The sequence below is a fragment of the Homo sapiens genome, chromosome 4 (genome assembly GCF_000001405.40).
Source record: "Homo sapiens chromosome 4, GRCh38.p14 Primary Assembly".
In the NCBI taxonomy this organism is placed as follows: Eukaryota; Metazoa; Chordata; class Mammalia; order Primates; family Hominidae; genus Homo; species Homo sapiens.
The window spans coordinates 93,197,517-93,212,231 of record NC_000004.12 but is presented as its reverse complement, the minus strand read 5'-3'; the positions used below and the strand labels follow the sequence as shown (position 1 = coordinate 93,212,231).

The window sequence follows — 14,715 nt, the reverse complement described above, 5'->3', positions numbered from 1 at the left end:
AACCCATTTTAAAATTAGCAACAAAATAATAGCTACACAAACAAAACTAGACAGATTCATGTTCTCCACGTTCAGCCAAAACGGGCATTTGCATCTTTTGAGGGTTTTTTTTATTATTACATTTAGAGTTTAGTAGCTTCCTAGCAATATTGAGAAATCCATGTTTTTTTTTTCTTTTATAGAAACTAGGGAAAATTATAATTCATCCATTATAAATTCCCATAAACAAGCATGTAAATGAAAAGTGTGCAAGAAAAATGTAAGTCATTTTCTGAGGCATATTTCAGAATAAAGTGGATGAATGAGAATAAGTATGCGGGTGAATGGAATAATTTGAAAGTAAGAGTGTTGATTTTGGATATACCAGCCAATAATGGTTTTTGTTTATTTTTTTATGGGTTAAAATACAGAAAACATTTGCTCATTATCTGAGTTTTAACCTTGTTCAGATAAAAGTGCTAACCTGTGTAATGTAAATGGTATGGGTTGTGAACATTGTATTTTTAAGAGGCTAGGCAGTGTGGCTTGCCCAAAAGAAATTATACCTCTGCTGGAAGACAAGAAAGTAGGGCTGTGGGTAAGAAAGAGATAACGGTTTCAATGATGGTGATGGTGAAGTTTTATTAGACAATTCACAGTAGAAAACCTAAGTTTGAAGGATAAGAAAATAATTGAGGTCTCCTTAATTATCTCCTAGACTTCTAACATGTATTGAGTTATTTACCAGTGAGATTGCTTTGTTTATATGGATGTTTTATTTTGCAAAATAGTGGCCCAAATTATGGAGCATCCACTTAATGACAATATTTTCATTTGTAATATTTTATGAAATAAAATTTAATAAGTTTAAAAACATGAATCATAATGCTTATGAAAAATACAATAAAACATAAATTTTTATTATTTTTTCCATACTATTTATTACCAATGAAATACATGCTAGTCTATTCAGGCTACACCTATACAATATGAAGATGCCATTTCTTCCAAAGTACAAATTGAGTCTTAAACAGTGGGTAAATGACCATGTTGTTCTCAGAAGCTCTATTTCAGTTTATACTTTTAAGTTCAGGTATACTTGTGGAAGCTAAATTGGATATTAAAAAAAATTAATTAAGGGGTTCCTTCTGCAATCTTATCAACCAATACAGGAGAATGGCCATTTCAATTTAGTGATTGTAAGCATTAATTTGTCCAGATTAATCCATTTCTCTAAAGAGGTAAGAAGTCACTTTATTTTTCTAGTAAGGTTGATTGACATGAATAGGTAAAATGACTCTCGCTGGTTTTGCATCAGGAAATCTGTGTAGTCTATATCCTGTCCAAAGTAGGATGTGAAATAAAAACAAAAAATTAGAAGAATCCTTATTTCAAAAAAAGTAATCTAGAAAATAATTAATACAAAAAAGCTAGTGACATAAATAGCTCCCATCAGATTATAACTGAGGCAGTAGAAATTTCAAAAATATAAACCATAAAGATAATTATCAAAAAATATTTATTTATTACCAATTAAATACATGCTAGTCTATTCAGGTTACACCTATATAATATGAAGAGGCTATTTCTCCCAAAGTACAAATTGAGCCTTAAACAGTGGGTGATCATGTTGTTCTCATGGTCAAAAACAAAATTCTAAGTGAAAATGTATCAAAAAGCATGTATCAAAAAACAAAATCCTAAGGGAAAAGAACAAAGCTGGAGACATCATGCTACCTGACTTCAAACTATACTACAGTGCTACACTAACCAAAACAGCATGATACTGGTACAAAAACAGACACATAGATGAATGCAGCAGAACAGATTGCCCAGATATAAGGCTGCATACCTGCAACTACCTGATCTTTGAGAAAGCTGACAACAATAAGCAATGGGGAAAGGACGCTTTCCTTTAATAATAAATGATTGCTGGGATAACTGGCAAGCCATATGCAGAAGATTGAAACTGGACCATTTTATTATACCATATACAAAAATTAACACAAGATGGATTAAAACCTTAAATGTAAAACCCATAACTATAAAAACCCTGGAAAACAACCTAGACATATAAATGGGCAAATATTTCATGACAAAGATGACAAAAGCAATTGCAACAAAAGCAAAAATCGACAAACAAAATTGAATTAAACTAACGAGCTTATGCACAGCAAAAGAAACTATCATCAGAGTGAACAACCTACAGAATGGGAGAAAATTTTTGCAAACTATGCATCTGTCAAAGGTCTATTTATCCTTAAGTTCTACAAGAAACTTAAGCAAATTTAAAGCAAAACCAAACAACCCCATTTAAAAGTGGGCAAAGGACATCAACAGACACTTTTCAAAATAATACATCATATGATCAATAATCATATGAAAGAAAGCTCAACATCGCTGATCATTAGAGAAATCCAAATCAAAACCACTATGAGATACCATCTCACACCAGTCATAATGGCTATTATTAAAAAGTCAAAAAATAACAGATGCTGGCATGGTTGTGAAGAAAAAGGAATGTTTATACATTGTTGGTGGTGGGAGTGTAAATTTGTTCAATCATTGTGGAAAAGAGTTTGGTGATTTCCTCAGAGACCTAAAAGCAGAACTACCATTTCACCCAGCAATCCCATTACTGGGTATATACCCAAATGAATATAAATTGTTTTATCATAAAGACACATGCATGCCTATGTCCATTGCATCACTATTCACAATAGGAATGACATGGAATCAACATAAATACCCACCAACAGTACACTGGATAAAGAAAATGTGGCACATATACATTGTGGAATACTGTGCAATCACAAAAAAGGAATGATATGTCCTTCGCAGAAATATGAATGGAGCTGGAAGCCATTTTCCTCAGCGAACTAACGCAGAAACAGAAAACCAAATACCTCATGTTCTCACTTATAAATGGGAGCTAAATGATGAAAACATATGGACACAAAGAGGGGAACAACACACTTCGGGGTCTACTGAAGGGAAGAGAGTAGGAAGAAGAAAAGGAACAGGAAAAATAACTAATGAGCACTAGGCTTAATGCCTGGGTGACAAAGTAATCTGTACAATAAACCCCCATGACACGAGTTTACCTACATACAAACTTGCTCACGTACCCCTGAACTTAAAAGCTAAAAACAAAACAAAAACAAAACAAAACCAACCAAAGCTTTACACTGAAAAAGATTAAGTTTTAAATTCCATTATCATCACTAATAGTTGTGTAATATTTGCTGAATTGTTTAATTTCTTTGAAACTTAGTTTCCTTGGAGAAAAATTGAAATGAAAATATTTAATTTGAAGGTTTATTAAGTTCCTTTTCCTTTGTCTTTCCCTCTATCCCAACGTTTAGTTATTCCACATGAAAATTAAGACATACTAGAAACTTAGAAGGTACCAGAACTTTATTGAAAAGCAGACCTCCAGATACGTATTGCCTGAGGAAATCTCAGAAAAACCTATCTTATTTTGACATGAGAAATACAGCTAAAATTCATAGAAACCTAATGTTTGGCAGACCAAAAACAGACTTGTAAGGTGTTTTCAGCGTCTTTACTCTGAAATAAAAAGGATCATTCCATCATTGAAGTGTAGTGTAGGAGAAACAACTTGAAACTGGGAATTATTTTCACTTTTCTGTGTAAAAAGAGGAAAATAATTTATTCTCTATGGACCTCATTCCCTCAGTACTTCAGAGAATATGGTTTAGTATTCCATAAGATAATATATAAGGGAATGATCTCTGAATTTTAACGTGATATGATCATTATCGCAGTACCATTCTTGTGTGTCATTTGTCAAGCACTGTGTTAAGAGCACCTGATAATACCTCATTTAACTTTTATTATGAACATGCAAAGTAATTGTTATTATACTTGTCCAAATGAATAAACTGAGGCACAGGAAGCTGATATCCATGTTAAGACAGCTACCAAGTTTTATAGCCAGGATCAAACCTATCTTGCTGACTATAAAACCAGGATTCTTATCCAAAAATACTATTTTGTCCCTAAAAGAAATCTTATTATTCTAGAATTCTGTATTTAGTATAATGAATAAGTAAATATTACATTATTTTTATTCATAAATAATAGGTATGACCAAGTACTACATCTTGTTGAGGAAAAATGTATGTGATCACATTATTTGTCCATGACTGACCTGCTCATTGTTCCTTCCATTTCTGACTGGCAGGTCCTAATGGAACAACTTATTTCCCAGGGCTTTTAGGTTGTAATATATTTTTAATCTTATGTATTATCTTTGCAAAAATCAAAAGACTTTCACAAGAATTTGACAAGTCTAAAGATTTGAAAACAGTTGTACTTCCTTATGAAAAGGGAAAAATCTGTTCTGTGTTTATTCATATTCATATGCTGAACTTTTTAATACTCATGTAAGGAGGGTGGACATAACAGTTCTAGAAACAACATTAAAATATAAATGGAACACAAGCACTCCACTGGGAGGAGTTTACTTTGCTTACAAAGTAGAACTGTACTTTTTATAAAGATGATCTCCTTGAGCAGGCAGAATGAGCCAACAGAAAGAGCTAAAAGAGACTCAGTGAGAAAGACTTTCTCCATTTATTTTATTAATATAAAACCCTTTATCATTTTTAAAAACTCTTCATTCTATCTTTGTTAAACAGCATTCACTCAGTAAGTTGAATGTTTACTTCAAGTTTTGTTTCCGCTTAAAAATTCAAGGCCATTGGAAATGCTACAATTATATATGTGAAAAAAGGACACAGAGTTAACAATAAGGTTTAGTTGGCTTTACCTCATTTATAATGATCCAGTGACAGTCAAAAGCAACCAAATTAGTCTCCACAACCTAGAATAGAAAACAAATCAGCTATCAGTCAAAATTAATCATGCAAAACAAACCCAACTAAATGAATATACTTTGCAAATGACAAAAAATGAATCGTATGTTAGAAAGGTCTTTGTTACTCAATTGAAGATGGAAAAATTATTAGCAAAACACTGTAGATGCATTTGCATTTGACATACATATAGATGCACTGTAGACTTGCTAATTATATTTGAAAACATAATTCATCAAAACCTAGAAAACCATGGGTTTCAACAGAAAAAAATACATAAATAAAATACACTGTTTTGTGATTTAACTGAGAGTGGAGAGTGGAGTTAAAATTTCAAATCACATTCCCTACTCGAAATAAACTTTGATGTCTTTTTATCATCTACCTAATAAATATCAAAGTACATAGCTTCTACAATCTGGCTCTAACTTAATATTCTTATCTGCTGCTACTTCTCTGTGTATATGCTTTCTACTGTTTTGACTAAGTAAACTGCTCTGTATTCTCCTGAAAATGTTTGTAACGTGTATTCTAAGGTGATCTATTCTAAAATTATCTGAAAGTTAAATACCAAAAGTGATAGGCAACATACTAGCATTAAAGCATGGGTAGGAAATTTTAGTAGCTTTTAGATTGCTAATAAGATGAAAAGAAATAAAATATATTTAAAAGGAAGAATAAAAATATATGGGTAGCACTCTTTGTTTGACTAACTTCAGATACATTTATTCTAAATGATTCTTGGCTTAGGCCAAAGAAGTAAGCCTCAGATGTGTGCATGCGTGTGTGTGTGTGTGTGTGTGTGTGTGTGTGTGTGTGTAGTAGGGGCAGTTTCTATATGAAGGTTTCTACGCTAATAAATCTTATCATACATATTCTAAGACACGTTCTTCTGATTTATGCATGGCATGGGCATATAATAAGTGAGACTCTTTTGTAAGAGGTCATTCTGTTGTTTTTAGCAATAATACTCAGCGATTGGGTTTCAAATGAAGATGCTTTCAAATAACTATCAAGGAGTTGTTATAGAAGGTGAATTGCATTTTGTTGGCTATTCTTTGTTCTACCGAGAAACACCTGCTAAGAGGTGCATTGCATCACAAAAAATAAAATTGGAAATATATTTGGTATGTGACTCAATGTTTTTTCAAAGTACGTAATTAGTTGCAGAATCTTTGTTTTTTAACACTTGGTACAAGTTTCATACTATTCCATTATACATCACATTGTTCCCTGTGACTTTATTGAGGTGTAGAGATAGTACATGATCAGATAATTGAGGATATGTTATCTACTTCTAAGCTTTATTATTATTATCATTTTTAATTTTATTTTATTATTATTATACTTTAAGTTTTAGGTTACATGTGCACAATGTGCAGGTTTGTTACATATGTATACACATGCCATGCTGGTGTGAAGTGAGCGAAGGATATGAACAGACACTTCTCAAAATAAGACATTTATGCAGCCAAAAAACACGTGAACAAATGCTCATCATCACTGGCCATCAGAGAAATGCAAATCAAAACCACAATGAGATACCATCTCACAGCAGTTAGAATGGCGATCATTAAAAAGTCAGGAAACAACAGGTGCTGGAGAGGATGTGGAGAAATAGGAACACTTTTACACTGTTGGTGGGACTGTCAACTAGTTCAACCATTGTGGAAGTCAGTGTGGCGATTCCTTAGGGGTCTAGAACTAGAAATACCATTTGACCCAGCCATCCCATTACTGGGTATATACCCAAAGGATTATAAATCATGCTGCTATAAAGACACATGCACACGTATGTTTATCGCGGCACTATTCACAATAGCAAAGACTTGGAACCAACCTAAATGTCTAACAACGATAGACTGGATTAAGCAAATGTGGCACATATACACCATGGAATACTATGCAGCTATAAAAAATGAAGAGTTCATGTCCTTTGTAGGGACATGGATGAAACTGGAAACCATCATTCTCAGCAAACTATCGCAAGGACAAAAAACCAAACACCACATGTTCTTACTCATAGGTGGGAATTAAACAATGAGAACACATGGACACGGGAAGGGGACCATCACACTCCAGGGACTATTATTATCATTTTTGAAATATATGTATACTCCACTTATAGGTGAAACTTAATAATTAAAACATAACCTATGGCAGTTTTCAGTTTTAGCTAAAAAAAAATAAAAAAAAAACACTTTATACCAGTAATGGTAATCCTTATTTCAAATTTTCTGATTGTTTTACTTTAAACATCTAAGAGACAAATAATGAAAAATTTATTAACAATAAAAAGTAACAGAAAATACGTGAGACTCCATTAGATTAAAAAGACTTCAAACTAGAAACTAAGATATAAGGAAAGTGGGTTTCTGGGTAAAATAAAGAGAAATATGTTGTACAAGGGGGTAAACCACTACTAAAATATGTAAATAGAATTCAGAGAAAAAGAAGTGAATACCAATAGATAGGCAGCATGGATGTAAAATACTTCTGAAGCAATAGTAGTACAGTGATTCTATTTAGCTTAAGTTATCCTCATTTGAAGCTAAATAATAATCTTCGCTATGTAATCAGATAAGGCAAAATTTAAACTATAAGCACTCTGCATCACCTGTAGAAATTACTAAATGAGAAGTTGTTTTGTGCAACAGCATTTATGGACTAAGTAGAAGGTAAGAGTTATGATGATAACTTGTTGGTAACTTATCTAGACCATGAGATTTACCCATGGCTCTTCATCTTAAAGTATGTTAGGCAAAAGCAAGAAATAATATTGAGGCACAAATCCTGTATTTCAGTGAAGAAGAAAGACAAACATGTTGTCTAAAGCCATGATTCTACTCACTGTACTATCCTCTGTTGCTTAGGGTCAGCAAGGAGATAGTCTCTCCTTCTGGTCTTTGGTTTTATTCATGAGTATTAACATCTAAGATATTTTAGCAGTATAAATTTGTTACAAGCAAACATTAGCACATTACTACAGATAAATAAATAAATCATCTATCTTCATGTTCTAAATTGAGTGCTCTTCACCATAGGCAAGTACTAAGTATCTGTGAACCTTCAGTATGAGTCCTGTATGTCTTAATGTGCATTTTTAAGAAAGAGTCTATCTGAATCTCTTTTGGGTCCTCAAGTTAACAGGTCTCCTACGAGTTCTATTGGACCAACTATTCTAAAATCATTAGTCCTCAAACTTAGTCTCCAATTTAGGTTACTAAATGAATTTAAAAAATACCCTGCCCTACAAACAAGTGAGTGGATACAAAGTTTATCAGAAAAACTAGACTATATTAATAGCATAATCATTTAAAGTCACCTCAATTTTTAAGCAAAGTCAAGGGTTCATGTGGTAGAAACTGCTAGATGATCATCAAAATCCATTCTCTCCTTCTGCTGGGACACTCAGCTAGACTACATTTCCCATCCTCCACTGCAGGGTATTACAAGGCCATGTGACTGAGTTCTAAGCCAATAGAATGTGAGCCGAGTGATGTACGCCACTTTCAAACCTGACTCATAAAACCTCCCATGTGCTTGTGTCTGCTCTCTGTCCATTCCAGCTTAGTAGGATTGTGACGTCACGCCTAGAGACCTTGGAAGCCACAGTAGCTCCAGTGCATGGAGCAGACTCCCCTTTCCTACTCTATGCTGTAGTGCTGAGCTGACATGAAACAAATCTTTAGTAGTAGAATATTACATTTTGGGTCTACTTGTTAGACTAATTTAGCCCATCTTATCTTTAATGCAAAGCATTTTTATTAACTTCAGCTATGCACTTTTTCTAATCTTAATAAATTTTAATAAACATACTCACTAGAGTAACTTTTAATTCTGTGATTTTATAATGGCATGATTTCAAAATTATGCAATATTTCTTGGCCTTTTCAAAAATATTGAATATTTAGAATCTTTTTTACAAACACATTTTTATCTGGAGAAGAAAAACGAATTATACTAGAATGGTCCTTAAGAATAAAAAAACAGATATGTCTTGTCTTTTTAATTATATATCAATGTATATGTAATATACACAACTAAAATCCATGTATTATTGTGACATCATGTGTTAAAGAAGCTTGAAATTTTTTGTAATGTTCTACACAGAAAGTTAATTCTTCCATTTATTATCTGAGAAAATATTCACTAAACAAGGGTTATAATTTCCCTAGGTCTAGGTTAACATCTTCATGCATAACCAGTGGGCTGGCATGAGTTCTCTGAGATTTTGTAATCAAATGTTACCAAAATAAAGCAATGTTAAAAAGCCACTGAATAAAAAGGTAACTGATATCAGTAATGGTAGGAGCATTTAGTAAGGGGAATAAAAAGATAAAATGGAATTCAATAGCCTAGACCTTGGAAATCCAGTAAGCTTTGAGTTCTCTCACTTAAATGAGTAGTGTATTATACACACACATACACACACACACAAAAAAGAATGTATAGTAGTATGATATATATATATTCAGTGAAACATATATGCACTTATATGCATATCACTTCAAAGTGGTTAAAACTCCAGTAGAAGTAGAATTAAAGGAAATAAAGGAGAAAAAGCAGTGATAATATTGTTTATGCTTCTCATGTATTATCAAATTGAGCTAATATGGAGTGAGCACTTACAAAAAAATAATTTACCTAAAAAGAATTTCTGAGCTCTTTGTGTAGATAACAGAAGACAACTATTATAAATCCCAAATCAATTCACCTGATTGTTTTTATAGTTTTAAATAATGTTGATCTCTTTCCACTTGGTAACACTTGCAGCTATATAATGCTCTATCACACTAGTGGCATTACTAACTTGAGGGCTAAATTACTTCTGGATTTTAGAAGTTATTTGAAGACAAGCTAGAATTTTTAAAGCCTTTATATTTACTGCCACAGGAAATTGTTTTCTTTTCCCACATTCCTTATCTATTTAGCATATCTTCTAATCTCCTATTTTAGCAGTGAACGTATTTGAAATCAATGAAAGGAATTAAGAAATTTGATTGCAATTTTCCTTTTTTCATTTGGAACCTGTTTAATATCTAGGCACATCATTATTATAGTTGTTTGGGCTCATTGTGTGAATTCTTAGAAATATTTTACAAGCTCATAAACACTAGTGCTGTTTAAACAAAAATTTCAAAAAGTTTTCGATTATTATAAAATATTGAAGGTATTAAAATAATATTGATTTTAAAAAACCACTATCCAATGAGGACTCTATTTAATAATATGCTTGGTTATCAAAATAACAGGAAAGATTGAGGTATGGCTTTCCCTTGGTAATGAATTTCCTCTCTTCCTCTTATCCTATAATTCTCTTTTGTCATTATACATGTGCACATTAATAATCTAAAAAGAGCATGACATGTTCATATAGAGTTGATGCCACTTTGAAATATAGCAATGTAATTATAACAAATTAAACTATCCCACCTCCCAAGAAGCTGAGCTTACTATAAGGGAATTGAGCAAAAAAGGAAAAAAAAAAATCAAGTCCTGTCAGGAAGACAAGCAATGAGTAAGGACAGACCATCTGTCACTGGCAGGAACTTTAGAACTTCTGAATCTTTGGAAAAGCTCGACAATTTATCACTGTGTCTTCCATCATTCATTCTCAAATCTTTAGATGTGCTAAATATAACACAACCCAATGCAAGGAAATCAACAACCCTGCCCGAGCTTGTTTCTCACTAGTAATAAATGTGGAACAGTTCCTACAAGTGCAGGGGACGATTTAATTGACTAAACAATAACAGCAACATGCTGTTTATCACTCAACCTTGTGGCTTAACTAAATTAAGCTTGTTCCTTTTGCAGGATGTACTAAATATTACACATTTACGCAGAGAGTTCCAGTGCTCTGTGCACCTGTAGCAGCAAAGATATCAGGTGTTTGCTTCCCTATTTCTAGCCCTTCCAAATCATCAGGTGGAGATCAGCAAGGGGCATGCATAGGCAGAGGACACCAGCAGATACGCTGGAACAAGTGGCTAGAGAAACACTAAAGAGCTACTCCCTTTCTGGCTTCTCATCTATAGCAATATTATAGCTTACTTATATCAGCATTTTTGGAACTATATTCTGTAGGACACTAGTTCCACTAAAAGTAATGAGTTTTCTGTAGCTAAGTAGATTTAGAAATATTGGGCTAAGCAAAGTTAAACAGATGCTATTACCACATTATTCCTCAAAGCTTTAAACAGGTTAACATGAATATAGAAATATAATTAACATAAAAATCATATTAATATATACTATTTCACTGATTGATATTATGGAACATATAGCTTTGTGCTTGTGAGTGCAATCTCTAAAGTCAGATTTAGTACCTTTATTTTCTGAGTGTGACTTTGAACAAATTATAAACCTGTTTCCTTTTTTGTCAGTAAGAATAATGATAGTGCCCACACAATAGAATCAGAATGAACATTAAATGAGATAATGGTATATGGTAAACTGTCAGTAAATATCAGCTCCTCACATTTCAGTTCATGTGCCTTATTGATCTCTAGGAGAAGATATTTGGATTATAGAATATTTCAGATGGATTTGACCACAGAAACCATTTTTTTCCACTGCAAGTCTCATGGGATTAGTACGGTTTGGAACATGTAGACTATAATCAATGTTAATTTAGCCACACATTTCTAAAGGTTCTAAAATTTTACTGAAATACCAGAAGGAATTTTGTCATTTTAAATTGCAATCCCACAATAAACCTACAGAGAGCACGACAGAGGAAAATATTTCCACAAAACAAAAACAAAAGATGACTTACTGTATTTTATATGACACAAATGTATATGTAATGTTTTTTTGTTTGTTTGTTTGTTTGTTTGTTTTGAGACGGAGTCTCGCTCTGTCGCCCAGGCTGGAGTGCAGTGGCGCGATCTCGGCTCACTGCAAGCTCCACCTCCCGGGTTCACGCCATTCTCCTGCCTCAGCCTCCCGAGTAGCTGGGACTACAGGCGCCCGCTACCACGCCCGGCTAATTTTTTGTATTTTTAGTAGAGACGGGGTTTCACCGTGTTAGCCAGGATGGTCTCGATCTCCTGACCTCGTGATCCGCCCGCCTCGGCCTCCCAAAGTGCTGGGATTACAGGCGTGAGCCACCGCACCCGGCCTATGTAATGTTTTTGACCAAATGGTGATACTTGTGCTTCTTTCCTTTTAATTATTTTTATCCCTATTTAAAAACAAAATAGACAAAATAAAACCACAATGTTCTCTCCAACAAAAGGGAGTATGTAGTATACAAAGTTTATAGTGTATAATATATTTTTAGCAAGGGCTTTGTGGATTTACAGTTCAAACTATATCCAGTTGCCTGAGTGTTGCATATGGCCAAAGTGCACTACTATAGAGTTCTGCTAAAACTAAACAAACAAACACCAACCAAAAAAATGCAATTATTATAAATACTATGTCTGAAACACAGTGGCCATACGAAACTCCAACCTTCTCAAGGTACAGGAAACATGTACATGACCTGAGTTTTGTTTTCTTCACTTGTTTTCTTTAGCTGGTTATTGTTGCTGTTTTTCTCATTAAAGAACTGAAGCCAAGACATAGGGAGACTGGAGTATTATTTGTTTAGATACCATTTTTAAATCCCAAGAATATCCAGCAGATGGCATTAGTAATCCCTCACGCCAACACTGGGCAGCATGGGGATATTCTGAAAGGACTGTCTTGTTTGCATTTCCCCTTGAGCTCAGCATGGATCCTCAACTGTCTTCTGTTCTTTTCCAAGCAGCCACTATCTGCCATTCCACTCTGCTTTTTTGCTTTAGAATCTCTGCTCTGATCTTCCAGCTGGAAGACCACAAATACACTTTCATCCAAATCCTCTTGCCATTACTGCCAAAGTTATTTCATAAACGGATATGCTAGATTTATTGTTACTGCTGTGCAGTGGGGTCTTCCCACACCCTGTGGGAGATGAAAATATGCCACCGCTGAGACTTAGCCAACACTGTGCTACCTGCTCTGCTTCTTAATGTGTAATGCAAGAGATAGACTGCATTCATCATGTGGCATAGACCAACTTTCCTGTGTTCTATATTATTGAACAAAGATTGAACAGTGATTAAAAGCAAATTCATGATTTCAGTACTTTACCTCATGAGAATAAAGATTTAAAAATCATTGCCAGTGTCAGAAACCACTGTGTTACTGTCTTTAATTCTCTGTGAGTTTCTGCTGGCATTGGGGTTTTCCTGGGCGTTTGCTGTGGTGATTTAAGGTGCATTATGCCAAAACATTAGGAAAAGCGGTGTTTGTTGAAGGACCCCTCATCCCTTGCCTATTTTACCATATGCTAATATGGTAACTTTTGGCACCATCAGGAAATTACACTAAAATATTTATTTTCTTGTAGCTATTATTTTTTAATAGCTAAATGACCCTTGGCAGAGTAAATTAATTCTTAAGTATGACAGGCAAACAAATGAATATGAGTTCTTAGTTGGATTTTGATCAACGCTTAAAATGATTTGGGGGTAAATTGGCACTTAATTGCTAGGATTTATGAACTAAGGCTTTCTTGCTATCTTGAAGCCAATAAAGAAAAAATAAAGTTTTTCAAGTCTATTCATCACGTCTAAATGCAATATATGAGCTCTCCACAGCTGTGGACTTTCATGCTTTGCTTTGTTCCTTTTGACCTCTTCTCAGTTTCTCTGTTTGACAAAGTGTTTCTCATAACTCAAATTGTGAACAAAATGTCAAACCCTTCCCATCCTACCTCTCTAACTCCAGGCAGTATTATCCCAACCCTTATGCTTGCCTGACACTCTGAGCCAACCTCTATCCCAGCCTTAATGAAATCGTAGATAACTATGTAAGTGGCTGTGAGGGCCATGTTGTACGTATTTTATATAACCCCTTAGTCCCTCTGGTTCAGCTGTAATCACTTTCCTGCTGGTCCTCTAGTATAGTTCAGCCTTTGTCCTTATGTTGCCTCCTGGATTGCTCTTCCATTAGAGACACACACATAGCTCCCTCCTTCATTTCATTTAGGTCTCTGCATGTGACTTCATCAGGCATGACTTCTATGATCATCCATTATTGCTCCCCCATGAGTCTCTGTTACTTTTGTCCTATTCTTTAGAGCATTTATCCCACCTGAGACAAATAAACACACACAGAGTCACTTATTTACCATCTCTTTCTGTGCTGTAGAATAAGCTTCATGGTAGTAAGGACTTCATTTTGGTCACTGGTCTATCCCTTTACAGTGAGTGACACATAGTAGGGTTTCAATAAAATGGATTGCTAGGAATGGGTCAGATTTTTTTTCCTAAATGTTGCTTGCGGAAATAAGAGAACCATATAGCCCTAACTCGTCCTTATACATCTGTGGATATCCATACCTCACCTAGGACTAAACTATTTGATAAGCTCATATAAAAAGGAAGTCATTAGAAAAAATTTTAATTAAAAAATTAAATCAGAAAATGAATCAATTTACATTTTCTCAAGTGAGAAGATCTTAACTATTTATATAGTAATTAAGTATAGAAATATTAAATTCAAAATCTGCAAAGCCAAATACCTCAGGACTTGGAGACTATCTGATACTAGAAAAATAAAATGAAAGTTGAGTAAATGGGCTTGAATTCAAATGCTGGGCCTCCTTAACTGTAACAAGGTATGTTACATACTCTGAGTCTCAGGTTCCTGATGAGCTGAATGACATTTTCTTCATGGAGGCATAGTGAGGACTAAATGGCTAAATGTATCTAAAGCATCTGGAACATTACATGTGTTCAAAAATCACTCAAGTTACTGTAATACTTTTGACAGTACTCATAAATGGTCATGTTTGACAACATTTATTCTGTCCAGTAAATGCTTATTGAATGCTATTTACAGTATGTCATTAATAATA

At 34.0% G+C, this 14,715-nt stretch overlaps 1 protein-coding gene across 17 annotated transcripts in view; it reads right to left on the bottom strand.

Moving 5' to 3' along the window:
* The window catches only part of GRID2 (glutamate ionotropic receptor delta type subunit 2), a 1,506,491-nt gene that overhangs the window by 598,225 nt on the left and 893,551 nt on the right, over positions 1-14,715 (bottom strand). For 16 of the 17 annotated variants that reach the window (NM_001440459.1, XM_024454024.2, NM_001510.4 and 13 more), the window contains one exon: positions 4,775-4,828. In NM_001440459.1, the coding sequence (NP_001427388.1) occupies positions 4,775-4,828 (54 nt within the window). Of the gene's footprint in view, positions 1-4,774; positions 4,829-8,145; positions 8,399-14,715 lie in introns of those variants that run through there. The other variant, XM_024454025.2, reaches the window with a different exon arrangement.